The sequence below is a fragment of the Homo sapiens genome, chromosome 7 (genome assembly GCF_000001405.40).
Source record: "Homo sapiens chromosome 7, GRCh38.p14 Primary Assembly".
Classification (NCBI taxonomy): domain Eukaryota; kingdom Metazoa; phylum Chordata; class Mammalia; order Primates; family Hominidae; genus Homo; species Homo sapiens.
In genome coordinates, this window is record NC_000007.14 from 155,958,792 (window position 1) to 155,975,391 (window position 16,600).

General features: G+C 46.9%; 1 long non-coding RNA gene across 3 annotated transcripts, besides 3 other annotated features; it reads left to right on the forward strand.

The window, feature by feature from the left end:
- The first annotated feature begins 2,549 nt into the window (after nt 1-2,549).
- Nucleotides 2,550-10,171, forward strand: LOC389602 (uncharacterized). 3 transcript variants are annotated; one of them, NR_168379.1, is made up of 3 exons: nt 3,766-4,484; nt 5,661-5,874; nt 6,101-10,171. It is a non-coding gene; the product is annotated as an uncharacterized LOC389602 (long non-coding RNA). The 3 variants fall into 3 exon arrangements; NR_144629.2 differs by lacking the exon at nt 3,766-4,484 and adding an exon at nt 2,550-2,759 and having other exon boundaries at nt 5,661-10,171; NR_168378.1 differs by having other exon boundaries at nt 5,661-10,171.
- Nucleotides 3,105-4,304: an enhancer, noted in NCBI's record as "P300/CBP strongly-dependent group 1 enhancer chr7:155754590-155755789 (GRCh37/hg19 assembly coordinates)". NCBI's record gives its function as "activates an origin of replication core promoter dependent on BRD2, BRD4, P300/CBP, MED14 and CDK7 cofactors, with strong dependence on P300/CBP, by STARR-seq in HCT116 cells {active_cell/tissue: HCT116}" and the evidence as "EXISTENCE:reporter gene assay evidence [ECO:0000049][PMID:35650434]".
- Nucleotides 15,308-15,809: an enhancer, noted in NCBI's record as "H3K4me1 hESC enhancer chr7:155766793-155767294 (GRCh37/hg19 assembly coordinates)". NCBI's record gives its function as "activates a minimal SCP1, AML or CMV promoter by ChIP-STARR-seq in naive H9 embryonic stem cells {active_cell/tissue: H9 hESC(naive)}" and the evidence as "EXISTENCE:reporter gene assay evidence [ECO:0000049][PMID:30033119]".
- Nucleotides 15,810-16,309: an enhancer, noted in NCBI's record as "H3K4me1 hESC enhancer chr7:155767295-155767794 (GRCh37/hg19 assembly coordinates)". NCBI's record gives its function as "activates a minimal SCP1, AML or CMV promoter by ChIP-STARR-seq in naive H9 embryonic stem cells {active_cell/tissue: H9 hESC(naive)}" and the evidence as "EXISTENCE:reporter gene assay evidence [ECO:0000049][PMID:30033119]".

The following is a 16,600-nucleotide window of genomic DNA, read 5'->3' on the forward strand; positions in this document are numbered from 1 at the left end:
GTACACTATAAGAAAGTATAGTATAGTGTAGCATAGTGTATTGTGTAGCATATAGGCTTATACAGTATAATATGGCATAGTGTAGGATAGTGGGGTGTAGTGTAGAAACAGCATGGTACAGTATAATGTAGCACAGTGTAGCATCGTGTGGTGTAGTGTGGTATAATATACTACAGTACAGTATAACATAGCATAGCATAGCATAGTGTGGTGTAGTGTAATATATTATGGTACAGTATAATGTAGCACAGTGTGGTGTAGTGTATTATAATATAGTGTGGTATAGTATAATATAGCATAACATAGCATAGTTTAGTGTAGCGTAACATAGTACAGTATGGTAAAATACAGCATTGTATAGTATAATGTAGCATAACATAGTGTGGTATAGTTTAATATAATATAGCATAGCATAGTGTAGCACAATATAGTACAGTGTAGTATAAAACAGCACTGTATAATATAGTGTATATAGGGCAGTATAGTGTATAGTATAGTGAATGTAGGGTAGAATAGTGTAGCATAATAGAGCACAGTATAGTATAATATAGCATAGTGTAGCATAGCATAGTGTATTGTTTTATAGCATAGTATAGCATGGGTAGTATAGTATGATACAGTATAGTGTAGCAAGTGTACTATAGTGTAGCATAATATAGTGTGGTATAATATAACATAGCATAGTGTAGCATATTGTAGTGTAGTGGAATGTAGTATGGTATAGTATAATATGGCATAGTGTGGCATAGTGTAGTGTATTGTAGCATAACACAGTGTGGTAGAGGATAATACAGTATGGCGTGGTGTGGTGTAGTATAGCATAGCATCGTATAGTATCGTGTTGTATAACATAGTGTAGTGCAGCATAGGAAAGTGTAGTACACACAGTATAATGCAGTATTGTGTAGTATAGTATAACATAGTGTAGTATAGTATAGCATAATACAGTGTAGTCCAGTATAATATTACACAGTATAGCACGGCACAGCACCACAGAGTATAATATGGAATAGTGTAGTGCAGTATAGTTTCTGTTTTCGGAGGTGAGTAGCTATTATGTTTCAGTGAAAGCCTGACTCAGTGAAGCGGCCAGCGTGTCTTCCAATACAAATGATGACACACGTCTACATTACACTTACCCTTTGGAAAGGAACAAGATGGGGAACTTTTTGAGAGTCAGGCAATTTCTCCAGTCCAACTAGGGCCACCCAGTTAATAGCCCTTAGTCACAGCATTCTTGGTGCACTTAGATGCTGGCGTCTCAGCAGGAGTAATGGGCTGACTCTCAGAAGCACAACAAACGCCCTGCCGTGATTATGGGCGTGGCCTTTCCCAGACCTCAGCAGGTGCTTTACGTGGCGTTGGCAGCACCTGCCTCCGGGGTGGGTTTGGAGCGGGTTGGGGTGAGGCTCGCAACCGCCACTAGGATGGCCCTGGCTCTCTCTGGCAGCTCTCCTGTCCATCCGCAGAGGCTGGCCGCCATTGTCATCTAGGAGCTAGAGCCCATTTCTCCATGGCACTGAATGAGGCCATTGCCTCTCTTAGGATAATTGGGGTAGAAATAAATCCTGAATGCTTGGCTCACAGGCATTGAAGGTATCAAGATCACACTGCTCCTCGCTGGGATAGTCCCTCTCTTTCTTCCCATTCCTTTTTACCTTCCCAGGCAGCCCCTCCTGTCCCCAGCACACTCCACCTGTGCCCCTACCTGCCGTTGGTCCCACGGCAAACACTTCCTGGAGCATTTAAACCAGCAAGGCGATGCTCTGGAGACAATTGCTGACTGTCCTTGTTCCTTCCCGTTCCCCGGAAGAAGCCCATGTGAAATGTTATGATAACCTACAGATGACCATTTCCAGTAGAGAAAGAGCCTACCTTGTTAGATAAGTGAACTAATTGGCAGAAATTCTATTATCTGCCATGTGAATTCTAATTTCTGGGGATAAGTATGCAGGAATTCATAGTTGGGGAGAGGGTGAAAAGTGCAAAGTAGCGTTTTCATGTCAGAAAGGAGTCATCGAGCAGCAATGTGAAGCCACTGTGTGCTTATGTGCATGCATGTGCACACGTGTGCATGCGTGTGTACATGTGCATGAATGCCTGAGCGTGTGTGTGTGTGTGTGTGTGTGTGTGTGTGTTAGAATCCTGCCCTGAGCTGGCCTTCAGGAAGGTGAATTCCGGTTTCTGCGCACTCTGCACTCTGGCCATTGTACCGTCATTTTACCCCTTTATATTTCTACATCGCCCTCCTTCTTCCCCTTATGGGAGCTTTCAACGTCTTGACTGATTTGATCAAATTGAATACTATGCAACATCAAAATCTGTTGTAAGTCTGATTTGTTATAAGTGATTTTCAGTAGAATGATAGTCGGTGGCTTTAATGAATTTTAATGAGCTTGACTGTATGAACAGAGGTAAACAGCATCTGTGTTTTGGGTGCCATGTTGTCATGGAATTCTAACTCATAGAGGGAAAATCCAGCTTCCGAGAGCAAAGTCCTTAAAGCAAAGTCCTCACGGCCATTTATGGAATTGTCCAGGCTCTAGAACGTCTCACTTCTCTGCAAGGATCTGTCCGTGTGTCATGGAGCACCTGGAGTGTTCTGTCTGGAATGCTGGCTGGGAGCCTTCTCCTGGCATTTGAACGAGGGGCAGCTGTGTCCTCTGTTTGCCGTGTAAAGAAAAGAGGACAGAGCTCAGAGGAGATGAACCCCAGCAGAAAGGGGTGCTTGACCAGCAGGAGAGAAGATAACCAAGAGGGTGAGTGTCCAGGCGGGACCCAGTGTGCATGCCAGGAGCAAGGGGAGGAAGGACAGGGGCAGCTTTGGAGCAGCTGTGCCCTGAGAGGAGGTGGGTGGGAGCTGAGGGGGGCAGCCAGCAGCTCGGCACAAGGGGCAAGACCCAGGGACAGAAAGCAAGGAAAGCCACAGTGACAGGGACCTACTGTCTACTCCTCGGGGGCCAGAGCCAGCCCAGGGCTGGGAGGGGAGACAGGGCAGGACACGGCCATGGAGGCAGCTGCCCATGGTCTCTGGAGTGCATGAGGGCTGTGCCTCTTCGGTGGCTGCTGCTCCTTCTGAAGAGTGGCCTGCGGTCGGCAGCGGGGCCTCTGGGGAGAGCTCCTGATTTCACTTTCATGCTCTGCCGCCACTGAGAGGAGTTAGGAAAATACCACGGGCTGCGTGATTTAATCGCCCTGCTATTTGTTAATTAGTCTGTGTGAAGTGCCAATCCGCAGTGTGCGTGGGCGTGGGGGCAGGACTGCGGTTTGCAGGGAAGCCAGCCGCTTGGAGCAGAGGCAGTTGGAGTTCACCTGCTCAGCTGCTTCCTGCTTGGATGCTCCGATTTCCAGAGCTGCCCACGTTTCCCAGTCCCTTTGAGAAGTTTTCCATTTAGCAACTGCCTTAAGGGCCTCTCAGTTGTTCAAATAGGAACCCCGATTCCCTCCACCCAAGCCATTTAGGAGGCGTGCAGAACCGAGCCCACCTTCATAACCAGGGTTGAAGCTGGGCCTCCCAACTCCCTGGACCTGTCCCTCTCCAGGTGGGGCTGCTTCCCTGGCTTCACTTGCCCGGGGCTCTGGGATTTCCCCTTCCTCTCCTCCATCAAGGGTTGTTTTCAGGAAAGGATGTATATTAGTCATTTACATGCTAGTGTGAATGAGCTCCAGCCACCACTTCCTGTGATTCATTCAGTACATGTTAACCAAGGGCTGCTGTTCCCCGTGCTGGGTATATGAAAACCTTGTCCCCGCCCTGTGAGTTCTACACTAGAGCAGGAAGTGGAAGGAAAAACATCACTGAAGCCAATGTGATCAGTGCAATATTAATCCCAGGGAAGCTTTAGGAGCACGGGTACTACTTACTGTGGACGACGGTTGGTCAAGGAAGGCTTTCTGGAGGAGGTGACAGCTAGGCTGGGTCTTAAGGATGAATGGGAAGAGAGAGGAGAACATGTGGATAAGGCCAGGCAAAAGGGCTGCACAGCCAAGTCACAGCCAAGACGAAATGCAGGGAGAGTTCTGGAAGCTGCGTGTTTCATGCTGCTGGGTAGTGTGGAAGGACAGGCTGGAGCTAGGCAGCTAAGCAGCTTGGCAAATGGAGCTACTGAGGATTCCAAACAGGACCTCTGCAGTCGTCTCCACTGCTTATGGGTTGAACCACGTGAAATAGACAATATTCGGCCATTTAGGGCCAAGACAAATGCCAGCTTTGCGGGGTGCAGCCTCACAGAGAGGCTGCTTGGGGGCCTTTGCAGAGGGTGGATGAGCAGAGGGCATCCTCCGGAACCTGCTTGGGGACCCGGCTCTGAGGCCATCGGGCCGGTGGTGTCCAGATTCTCATGTAGGCTGGGAGAAAGGGGAGGTTCAAGAAACACGGAGGAAGTGAAGCGTCAGAGCCGGGGGGACGGGGTGCCGCAGAGGAGAAGGAGCACTGAGGCTGAGGTCCAGGCTTGCAGACACGTGGACCATGAGTATTCTGCCAGGTAAGAGACAGGGTGGAGGGTAGGGGCTTACAGCGGCTGTGATGAGCTCGCTTCAGATGAATTTGGAGAGTTTAGGCAACAGTGTATAAACCTGCGTGTGGCAGGGACTCCTGACACCTGACAGTGGTAGGATGAATCCACAGGGATGAAGCCGTAGTGGTGGGGTTTTTACAAATGTCGTGGATGATTTGGGGAAGGCGGGCCCTGCCAGTCTCTCTCACATCATATTTTGAGGCGGCCACCGTTTGGCCCAGCTGTGGTCTTGCTCTGTGCTCACAGACAATTGCATGTCCTGCTGGCTCCAAGCTTTGAGACCAAGGAGGTCTTGGTGATTTGCAGGCCTCCATTTAGGTGGAAGGGTGATGGCTGGGCCTTCCAGGGAACCCAGCTCCGAAGAGTTGTCTGACCCCCTCAGGGCAGCACAGCTTATTAGAGGAGGAGCTGGGGGTCCAGGAGGCACGGCAGGTACTTGGGCCATCCAGGGCCCTCCATCGTGTGTTCCCATGGGCTCCCCGCTGGATGGCAACTTTTCCCTGGCTCTCCCTGCCTTCCTCCTCTTTGAGGCCCCTTTGGCTGTGGCCCCTTCCCATTTCATGCACACCCCCAGCTGTGCCGTTGACCTCGACTATTCTAACTCAGTGTTTGCTGATTCTGCTGTCTTCCACACCACGTCACAGCAGCTCTGCACGTCTCTCTCTAAGTGACGACTAACGAAGATAACAATCATAACCACAGACAAAGGCCTAAGGCCGGCCATGTGCCTGGCAGACTCTCATAGAAGGGGTTTATATGAACGAGCTCTTTAATCCCCCAACACAGCCAGTAAGTGGCTGAGTTAGGATTTGAACCCGAGGAAGTGGCGTGTCCCTGCTCATAGGTAAGTGGAGTCAGGGGTGTGGCAGCCCTTCTTTCCCTTTCCGGGAAAGACATGGTTTCAGCAGGGACCCTGCGGTCAGCATCTTGTCCTTTCCTTTGGTCAGGAGGAGTGACCCTTGTTGGGGAGGGGACCCTGAGGCTGGCGGGGAGGGCTGTGGGCAGGAGGAACTGTGGGATCCTCATCAGATCCACTCTCCAGGCAGCCACCTCCTGGGACCTGCACTGATGAGCATCACAATTAATGTCACAATTGTTAAAAAATGTTAAATACCTTCTGACTCCCCTTTTCTCTCAATATAGGTCTGTGGGTGTCTCTTCTGAGCTACACCAGTTTCCAGGTTACCTGGGACCATGGATAACTCTCAGATCAGCAACTTGTCAGTTGATTTCCAAGCTGCTGTTGGCTGGACTCAGACTCAGCAGGGAGCACCTGGGCGAGCCCTGTGCTGCGGGCTGGACTCCGGCCCATCTCGCTGATTACTCTTGCTTTTGCTCCCCAGTGTGTCCTCAAGAGGTCAGAGCCTGCTTGTTGTTTCTTCATGACCACGGGAGGAGGGGCACCAACATGAGGGTGCTAGCATCTCCCCAGTGGTGGCTTCCCAGGGCTGGGGAAACCCTGGGGGAGGGGTTGGGACAGGGACCTCTGTCGCTTGCTGTCACTGCCTGGGTCAACTGCCTGGCAGGGCTGGCCGCTCGTGCTCAGAAGGCTGAGGCCTTACCTGCCTTCTCCTCTCACCCAGCGCCCATGTAAGGACACATCTGAGTTGGCATTCTGTGTCTGCTCTTGAGCTACTCGCATGATAAGTCTTTGTTGTCCTGTGGGATGTCACCGGTTCATGCTGAAGAGAAATTGTAAAGGACTCCTTTGCCTGCTCAGGCCCCATGGCCTCTGTCATGTTTTGTCCCCGTCCCTTTGGGAGCACAGCAGCAGTGGGCTGGCTGGACTGTGCAGGCGAGGTTCAAGGATGAGGTACAGTTGTGTGAAAGGTGAGCCTGCTGGACCGGGGAGCTTTCCTCAAGGCCTCCGCCTGGCTATGATGGCGTTAGGGTTGAGGGGAAGCTTCATCCAAAATGCACAGTACTTGGATGTCAAGATGATGTTGCTGCTCTCAGGATGAGTCACTCTCCACCACTGACTTCCTTTGATGTTCTGAGCTCAGCCTGGAGTCTGACCTGGGACTATAGCACTTGTTCTCCCAAGGTAAGGCTGGCGGCCAAACCCAGCTGCGCACACCTGAACCTGCTCCTTGGCAGAGATGAAGGGCGTCATGTTTCGTAGCCACTCAACACCCATGGACAATTTGGCTCCTTGTAAAGACTTAGTCATGCCTTTGAACTGACTTACTTGAAATATAATTGCTCCTATTTTGCTCCAAAGACCAGTGGCATGATGGGTTAGAGTTATTTGTATTTATTGAGATTGTTGTAATTAGCAATCTCAGGGCTCAGTCTAACTGCATTATCCATGCTGGAAAACTTAAAAAAAAAATACAGTCCTTCATCTTCAGTTTTCCAATGGTCGCCAGTTATACACAGCTAATCTTTGCAGTGAAAGTTGTCTTTGGAGAATGTGCTTTCTTGGTCCCGGGTGGTCCTGGTCTTGGGCTGGAATCTACGTGAGCTGCTTTGAAGTAAGCTGACAATACACAATTATTAAGGCTATTTTGACCTGCAAGTATGGTTTCTTAAAAAGGAACAATTAAATACCATGTAGCAGTTATTTAGACTTTAGCATTGACTAAGGAAAGGAGAAAATGGAAGAAGAACCCCCTCCTGCTTAGATGCAGTCATTTTTTAAAAAAATAATCTTTTGGGGAATAAACTTAACCAAGGAGGTGAGGGACTTGTAAACAAAATGTTAAAACTGCACTGAAGACTAGAAAATGTTGATGAAAGCTGTTAAAGAAGACACAATTAGATGATGAAAACACATCCCATGTTCATGGATTGAAAGACAATATTGTTAAGATGTCAATACTATAGATTCTATGCAATCCCTGTCAAAACCCAATTTTTTTTCAAACATAGGAAAATCCATTCTAAAATTTACATGGACTCTCAAGGAACCCTGAGTAGACAAAACAATCTTGTAAAAGAACAATGTTGGAGGGCTCACACTTTCTGGTTTCAAAACTACAGTAATTAAAAAGCTACAGTAATTAAAACAGCATGATATTGTCACAAAGATATAGAAAAATAGAATAGAATATAAATCTTGGAAATAAATCTTCACATATATAGTCAAATGATCTTTGGTGAGGGTGCCAAGACCACTTAATGGGGAAAGGACAGCCTCTTCAACAAATGATTTTGGAAAAATTAGATATTTATATGCAAAAGAACGAAGTTGGACCCTAACTTTACACTATATACAAAAATCTACTAAAACTGGATTAAAGAACTAGCTATAATACCAAAAAGTATAAAATTTCTAGAAGGAAACATAGGGGAAAACTTCATGCATTGATTTGGCATGATTTTTTGCATATGGCATTAAAAGCACAGGTGACAAAAGCAAAAATAGAGAATTGGGACTACATCATACTTAAAAACTTCTGTGTATCAAAGTACACAGTCAACACAGTAAAAAGGCAACCTGCCAGAATGAGAGAAAATATTTGCAAATTATGTATCTGGTGAGGGGTTAATATCCAGAATATATAAAGAACATTTAAATCTCAGCTACAACAACAAAATAAGTAACTCAATTTAAAAGTGGGCAAAGGCCTTGAATAGACATTTCTTCAAAGAGGATATACAAATGGCCAAATAAGCACATGAAAAGATGCTCAATATCACTAACATTAGATAAATGAAAATCAAAACCACAATGAAATATCGCCTGACATCCATTAGGATGGCTACAATAAGAAAAACAAAGTGTCGACAAGGGTGTAGAGAAATCGAAAACTTAATGTAAAGTTGGTGAGAATGTAAAATGGTGTGGCCACTATGTAAACCAGTATGGTCATTCCTCAAAAAATTAAAGATAGAACTATCATAGGATCCAGCAGTGCCACTTCTGGTTACATACCCAAAGGAAATAAAAGTAGGATCTCAAATAGTGATTTTTATACCCACGTTAATAACAACAGTATACAATAGCCATGTGGTGGAAACGACTCAGACATCTATTCTCTTTTTAAAAAAATTATTTACTTTTTACTGACACCTATTAGATGTACTTATTTTCAGGGTACATGTGATAATTTGATACACTCACATAATCAAATTGGGGTAATGGGGATATCCATTACCTTAAATATTTATCTTTTCTTTATGCTAAGAACAATTGCATTATTCTCTCCTAGCTATTTCAAAACAACCGATTAATGTTAACTATAATCACCCTACTGATCTATCAAACACCATGTCTGATTTCTTCTATGTGTAGGTTTATACCCTTAATCAGCCTTTGTTTTTCTCCACCCACCTCCCCTACCCTTCCCAGCCTCCAGTAACCACCAACCCAGTCTCTATCTTCATGAGGTTCTCTTTTTTAGCCCCTGTGTATGAGTGAGAACATGTGATATTTGTCTTTCTGTGCTTGGCTTATTTCACTTAACATCATGTTGCTGCAAATGACAGGATTTCATTCTTTTTTATGGCTGAATAATATTCCATTGTGTATTTATACCTCATTTTCTTTATCCATTCATCCACAGATGGACACTTAGGTTGATCCCATATTTTGACTATTGTGAATAGTGCTGCAATAAGCATGGGAGTGCAGATTTAAATATATACCCAACAGAGGGATTGCTGGATCATATGGTGGTTCTACGTTTAGTTTTTTGAGGAACCTCCATAGTGTTCTCTACCATGGCTGTGAAAATTCACATTCCTGCCAATGGTGAACAAGGGTTTCCCCTTTCTCCACATTCTCACCAGCATCTGTTATTGGCTGTCTTTTGGAGAAAAAACATTCTGACTGAGGTGAAGTGATACTTCACTCTGGTTTTGACTTACATTTCTCTGATGATTAGTGATGTTGAACATTTTTTTCCTATACCTGTTTACCATGTGTATGTATTCTGTCAAGAAATGTCTGTTCAGATCTTTTGGCCATTTTAAAATCAGATTATTTGTTTTTTTGCTATTTGAGCTCCTTATATATTTTGCTTATTAATCCCTTGTCAGATAAAGAATTTGCAAATATTTTCTGCTATTCTGTAGGTTGTATCTTCATCTTCACTTTGTTGATTGTTTTGTTTACTGTGTAGAAACTTTTTTTTTTTTTTTTTTTTTTTGATGGGGGAGACAGTCTTATGGTGTTGCCCTGGCTGGTCTTGAACTCATGGCCTCAAGTGATCCTCCTACCTTGGCCTCCTAAAGCTCTGGGATTACAGGCATGAGCCACCATGCCTGGCCTTGCGCAGAACCTTTTCATCTTTCGAACTCATTCTACAAGGCTAGCATTACCATGATACCCAAACCAGATAAGGATACAACAACAAAAAAGAAAACTACAGGCCAAGATCACTGATGAACATAGATGCACAAATCCTCAACAAAATACTAGCCAACTGAATTAAACAGCACATCAAAAAGATCATTCACCATGATCAAGTGGGTTTCACCCCAGGGTGCAAGGTTGATTCTACATATGCAAACCAATAAGTATTGAAATGATCACATGATTTTTGTTCTCAGTTCTATTAATGTTCTTGATTCTGTTAATGTTCTGTTCACATTGCAGAAAAAGCATTTGACAAAATAATTTCAGTAGCTGCTGAAAAAGCATTTGATAAAATTCAGCATACCTTTATGATACAAAAAACCTTCAATAAACTGGGTATAAAAGAAACATACCTTAAAATAGTAAGGGTCATGTTAATTCCCTGAGTGAATTCATATTAATTCACTGAGTCATGCAGATCTTCCAAATGTTGACACATTTCAGAATACCAACAGTGAAAAAGGTACACGACATCTAGGTGTTATTGCAAAAATAATTTTTACATCATGGATCCCCAGAGAATGCTTGGGGACCCTCGGGGATCCACAGGCCATGTTTCTGTGAACTGCTGTATGATCCAAAACACATCCTATCACTGATTTCAGACCCAAGAGTAAAGGAAATTGGCTCAACCATTTTAGAAAGAGGGATGCAGAGTTCCATGGCAGAAGGCACGGATGCAGGTGGGGAAGGATGGGAGCCAGAAGGCGGCCCATCACAGAGCTCTCGCTGAGGACTGGCATCATAGCAGAAGTTGATCCTGGGCTGGAGGTGTCTGGTCGGACCCACTTTATCGTTCATGTTCACATTTTGTTACCTGCCACCTTACATTATGGCTTAACTGTTTCGTGCGTGCCTGGCTGGTAATTCCACCAGGTAGTTAAGCTTCTCGTGACTAGAGATGAGTATTCCACATTCTCTCTGCACCCCTGGAATGGTGGCTGCACACCCAAGTCCTCTCTGCTTAACGTTCCTCCTCTAGGGTTTAGAGGAGCAGCTCTGCAGTCCGACTGTCCCAGTGCAAAGCCGGGCTCCACAATGAAGAGCCATTTGACAAGGGGTGAGTTAACTTTTCTAAAGCTCTCGGATGCCGTCTGTAAAGTGGCGCTGCTCCAAGTGTGCTGTGACGGTTGGAGGAGATAAGGCTTGGAGAGCTCTGAGCACCCAGAAGGCAGTACGCCGCGGCGGACTTGAGTCATGGACTTTTCATCCCAGGGCTCTCCATTTTCACCAGCACTTGGTGGTGGTGGTGGGGATGAACGTGTTCCTCTCTGAAGGTACCGGGCTGGGCTGCCTGCCTTTTTTTTTTTTTTTTTTTTTTTTTTTTTCAGACGGAGTTTTGCTCTTGTTGCCTAGGCTGGAGTACAGTGGCAAGATCTCAGCTCACTGCAACCTCCACCTCCTGGGGTTCAAGCGATTCTCCTGCCTCAGCTTCCCGAGTAGCTGGGATTACAGGCATGCACCACCACGCCTGGCTAATTTTTGTATTTTTAGTAGAGATGGGGTATCACCATGTTGGCCAGGATGGTCTCAATCTCTTGACCTCGTGATCTGCTCGCCTCAGCCTCCCAAAGTGCTGGGATTACAGGCAAGAGCCACTGCGCTTGGCCTGTATGCCTATTTCTAAGCAATGAGGAAGGTAGCTTTAAAAACCAAGCACAGGTAGGGCCTTTCTGTCTGTTCTTTTCACACAGTCTTATGAAATATTCTCCACAGTGTAAAATCCTTTCTGTTCCTCTCTTTTTGAAGAGCAGTTGAAGCTGAATATGCCCCTTTGCTCTTTCGTTGCCTAATGCACGTCTAGCAGTTTTTCCAGAAAGACCTTTGGGTCCAGGACCTGGTCTAGCTTCTAAGTCTGCTTTTGCTGAGCGTGGCAGCCTTGACAGAGTCAGGATTCCCAAAGCTTCCCCATCAGCCAACTGCACGTCCGTCTTCCCTCCAGGGCTCTTGTAACATGGGAAGGAGCTTCCACAAGATATTTATGAAATTTTATCAAAATCGTGATTGATGATGATGACCCTTTTATTTTCATGAAATTCTTAAATGACTTAATTTTAGTTTCTTTGTCTATTTTAGCCCATTTCTGCTCCCTAAAGGGACTAACTTCTCAAGAAGAAATTCTGACTTCCTGTTTACATTTTTCTTTCCCTTTTCAGAGGAGAATGTAGTTGGTTCCGTGAGCTAAGTGTGTCTTTTAAGATCCCTCACCTCATCCAGAGCTGGGCTGATGCTGTTACTCCTCTCATAGCCCACTCCTCTGCAGGGTGACCTGGGATCACTCAAAGTATTGATCACGCTGTGCTGGTCTATTCTGCAGGACACTTGTCTCATCTCAGTGAAACTGGGTGCACAATGGTTCGAGGGGCTGTGACACACTTGTCCACTCTGTCTCCTACAGGACTTGTCTAGCCTCATCTCAGAAAACTCAGCCCTTTGGATATTCACAGTATTGAGTTTATTCAGGAAGAGCTTGAAGAAACATTTTTGATCACTGACTGTTTGCTAGATCCTGGACGAAATTCACCCTGCTTTCAAATCCTTTGTGTTCTAAATCCCTTATCAACGATATGCAACTGTCATACCCAAAGGAAAGCAAACACTCATATTTAACGTGTCCCTCTGCCCTGGCCGCGAGTTCTGTGAAGATGGATTGGGATCTGTAACTGTCATCCCCAGAGGGAAAGAAATACTCATATTTAACGTGTCCCTCTGCCCTGACCACGAGTTCCGTGAAGACGGAGTGGGATCTGTGTGTTCAGCGCTGGGTAGGATGCAGGTTGCCTGCATGCAGCAGCTTCAGCCTTGACACCTGGGTCCTCCCCTGGGTTTTGCTCAGTCCCAGGTAAACGAGGTGTGCAGTCCAGGAATGGGGCCTGTAGGGCACCTGAGCCAGTGGCACAGATATGAACTTTACCTGAAACTCAAGATTTTCATTTCTGCACGTTATTCAAGTATGCAAGCTGGTTGAGCTGAGGCTTCACTTCCTTTTTTTTTTTTTTTCCTTTTCTTTTCTCAGCCTGACGCAGGGAAGTTTTTAATCTGTTCTTCCTCTTCCTTCTCCTCGGTTGTCCAGGCCTGGGTGTTCAGCACGTTCCCTCCAGGAAGTTTAGAGTGGCATCTCTCCGAGGGCAAGACCCTGGTGAGGATGGACGTCTTAGCCTCCACGCTGAGTGGAAGGAGAGAGGCTTGGTCCAGGCCTCAAGGCCTTCTATGCCCACCAGGTATCCAGGAAGCCCTGGAGAGCCCCAAGCAGTAAACGGGAGAGGTGCTCTGTGGGAAATGCAGGCAGAGAGGGAGAACTCTTCCCACTGAAGCCTCCAGCCCCGGCTTCTTCTAAGCCTTTGGCGGCTATTAAAAAAATTCCTTCAGTTTTTGCCCACTAATGATGCCCATCATTCTCTGGAACCTGAATTCAGAAGCGCAGGCTCACAGCCATCTGTCTTACATGATTTACAGGAATGCTTTTTATCCTAAAAGCTGGGGCCATTTGTATCCAAGAAGGGTGTAGCCGTAGGAACCTCTGTACCTATATTTAGTAGAGAATTGAGTCAGTTTTCTGGGTACTTAATAGTTTCCTACTTCACGGTGTGTAGGTTAAACTTGGTTTTAGTTATGACAGATTGGGATAACAAGTATAAAAATAACCATCTAATTAATGGCTCCATGTACTGTATGATTCTAGAAAGGATTATTTAGAATTATTGGATCAGGTAAGGTTGTGGACATACTGTGTCTGGATTTTCCTAAGTTCTCTTAAAAAACAAGTTCAGACCAATACGTATATTTATGGGGGAGTGTGTAAATGCAGTCTGCAGAATGCCCGTGTGGACACGTCTGGGCAAGAACGCCCATGTGGACGCATCAGGGTAAGGCTGGCAGCCTCACGGAGGGATGATAGGTCATTGTCAGTCGCTGCGGCTGAGTTAAGTTCACCCCCCAATTCACATGTTGAAGTCCTGACCCCTAGGACCTGAGAATGTAACTGTATTTGGAGATAGGGCATTTCAAGAGTTAATTAAAGTAAAATGGAGTATTAGGGTGGGCCCTGATCCCATCTGACCCACGTCCTTATAAGAAGAGGAGATAAGGACACAGACACACCCAGAAGGCTGACCCTGCGAGGACCCAGGGAAGAGACAGGGAGGAAGGCACTGGAGGGGGCCAGCCCTGCCCACAGCTTGCTGTTGGTCTTGCAGCCTCTGGAGCTGTGAGAAATGAACTTCTGTGTGTAAGCCGCCCCATCCGTAGCCACATCGTGGGATTTTGTTCAGATAGCCAAGCTGACTCCCACACAGGTCTGGAGCAAGCCCCCACTGGGAGCCCCAGGGCTCTCCTCTCTCTGACAGTTTTTCTTGTGACTGAGGCTGCTGGTGGAGCACACAATGTCCTTGCCACACTCTTCCTTAAGTGTAGAATCTGATTTTTCTCAGGGAACAATTGAGTGCCCTACCAAACACTCAATTTTCTAAGCTTCCTTTCAGCTCCAGGCAGTGGCATTCAGGCGGAACAACACGGGCGGGTGCCCCTTCCTCTAACGGGAAGGCAGAGGCTCCTGGGAAAGCCCTTCCCTGCTCCTGAACATCTTCTCTGTCCTTGGCAGAGGGACGTGCCCACAGCGGTCTGTGCCCAGAGGCAGCTGTGCTGAGGATGGGACTGTGGACCGTGGGGAGGGCAGGGCCCTGACCACCTCACTGGCAGGCCTCACCTATCTCCAGGCTCGTTTTTATGACACAGAAAAACAAGAATATGGGATTTTATGTTTGTTAAGTCAGACCAAGTTTCTGTTATTTGTTCCTAAACTGACTTATAACTGATGACAGCCATGACTTGGATAAATCATGGAAAGTGCACATCTAAACACTGTGGAAGGTGGAGCTGGGAGGATGCCTGGGCCTGCTGCAGGACAGGGGCAGGATGCCACCCCCCAGGGAAAAGGTGACAACTCGAGATCTGCCTGCCATGGTGGTCCTGCCAGTGCTGGAGAGGGATGCAGGGACCATTCTGAATTTAGTTCCCCAAATTCCAAGTCGGCTAGCACAAGGCAGGAGAGTATAGCTAAGCAGCCAGGTGAAAAAGAAGTGAGTGTCTTCAGGGACGGAGGCCGACGGCTCAGCACGGTGCCCCTTCACTCTTCACTCGGCCACAGTGAGGGCAGCACGGGCACCGGCACGGCCACAGTGAGGGCAGCACGGGCACCGGCACGGCCACAGTGGTGCTGCTTGCTCAGGCTGGCCAGGCCATGGTGGGTCCCTGGGCTCGCTGTTTGCATCCCAGTGCAACAGATGGAGATGGTGGTGCTTGCCCAGTGGAGAGTGGCCCAGTGCTGAGGAGTTCTAGAATTTTGCATGGAACGGATGAAAACTGAGGAGGTAGGAAGGACTGTCAGTGGGAAGAAGGGCTGCAGTCATTTTGTGTGGCCTTAAGGGCATCCCTGTGACAACAGGTGGAGGGGACGGGTCGTGGGGGTGGGTCATGGTGGGCTCCAGACAGGGAAGAAGTTTCCATCAGCAAGAGCTTTCACAAATTGGAATGGACTGCTCCAAAAAGTAGAATTTCCCTGCCCACGGGGGTGTCAAGAGCAGACCATGGGATCCCACCTGGAGGGCAAGATCCAGGGGAATTCAGACAGGAGGTGAGGGTGGGGTGGACGACCCCTACAGTCTGAGCCTAAGCATGTGGCCGCCCCAGGGCTGGGTCTGCAGGCTGTTGATGAGCATGAGCCATCGACTTTATTTACAGAGATTCTCTTCCAGGCTCCTCCCAGGTGCCCCAGGAACATCAAGAAAGGCAGACGTAAATGGGTCCAGGGCTCCTCACGCTTGGACAGGGGGGACCTGCTCCCCGGGTGGGGTGAGTGCTGCTAGAAGTCAGGGGAAGGTGAGTGCTAGGTGATGTCAAAAAAGGGAGAATATGGGATTTAATATGGGCTGGGGAATGGCTTGGTTTCCTATAGGAAGAAAGGAAGGTGGGATACCTGCTCCCAGGCAGGGAAGAACAAAAGAAACAGAGGAGGCAGCCTGGGCAGTGGCTGGGCGTCTCACCTGACCCTGGCTGAGCTCCTGCTGATCTTGGAGAAGGAAGGGTGGGGCCAGACTCTGGATGGCTTGGAGCCCCCGACCAGGGTCCACACTGGGAAGAAAGCAAAGGGAAGTTAACCACTCAAGGTTCTCACGCTGTTTTCTCAAGTAAGAAAGTAAACTCCCTAAACCACAAGACCAGCACAAACTAGGAAGGACCCCACGGCCCACCACCATGCGGCACCATACCTAAGTGTTCCTGAAGTTCACAGAAGGGATGTGGTAGAGAGGGGAAGGACGTTACCAGGTTTTAAAACATATTTTAAAGTTTAAAATTTTTTTGCGTTAGTAATAGTGATAATAATTGTACATGCTGTGGGTTCACCTATTTTAAGTGTATAAGTCAATGGTTTGTAAAAAAAAATACATAATTATGCAACTGCTACTACAATTCAGTTTCCAACATTTCCGTCCCTCAGAAAGGCCCTAATGCCCATCTGTACTCAATCTCCATTCTCGCCCCAGCCCAGGCAACCGCGAACCGGTTTTCCATTCCTACACATTTGCCTTTTCTGGACATTCACGTAGATGGGAATCAGGCAGTCCGGGATCTTTTGAGACTGGCTTCTTCACTCAGCATCATGTTTGAGGTTCATCCATGTCCTAGCAGGCATTAGCAGTTTATTCTTTTTTATTGCTGAAGAGAAACCCACTGTATGGAGGAACCACATTTTACATATCCATTCATCAGCTGGAGGCTTGAA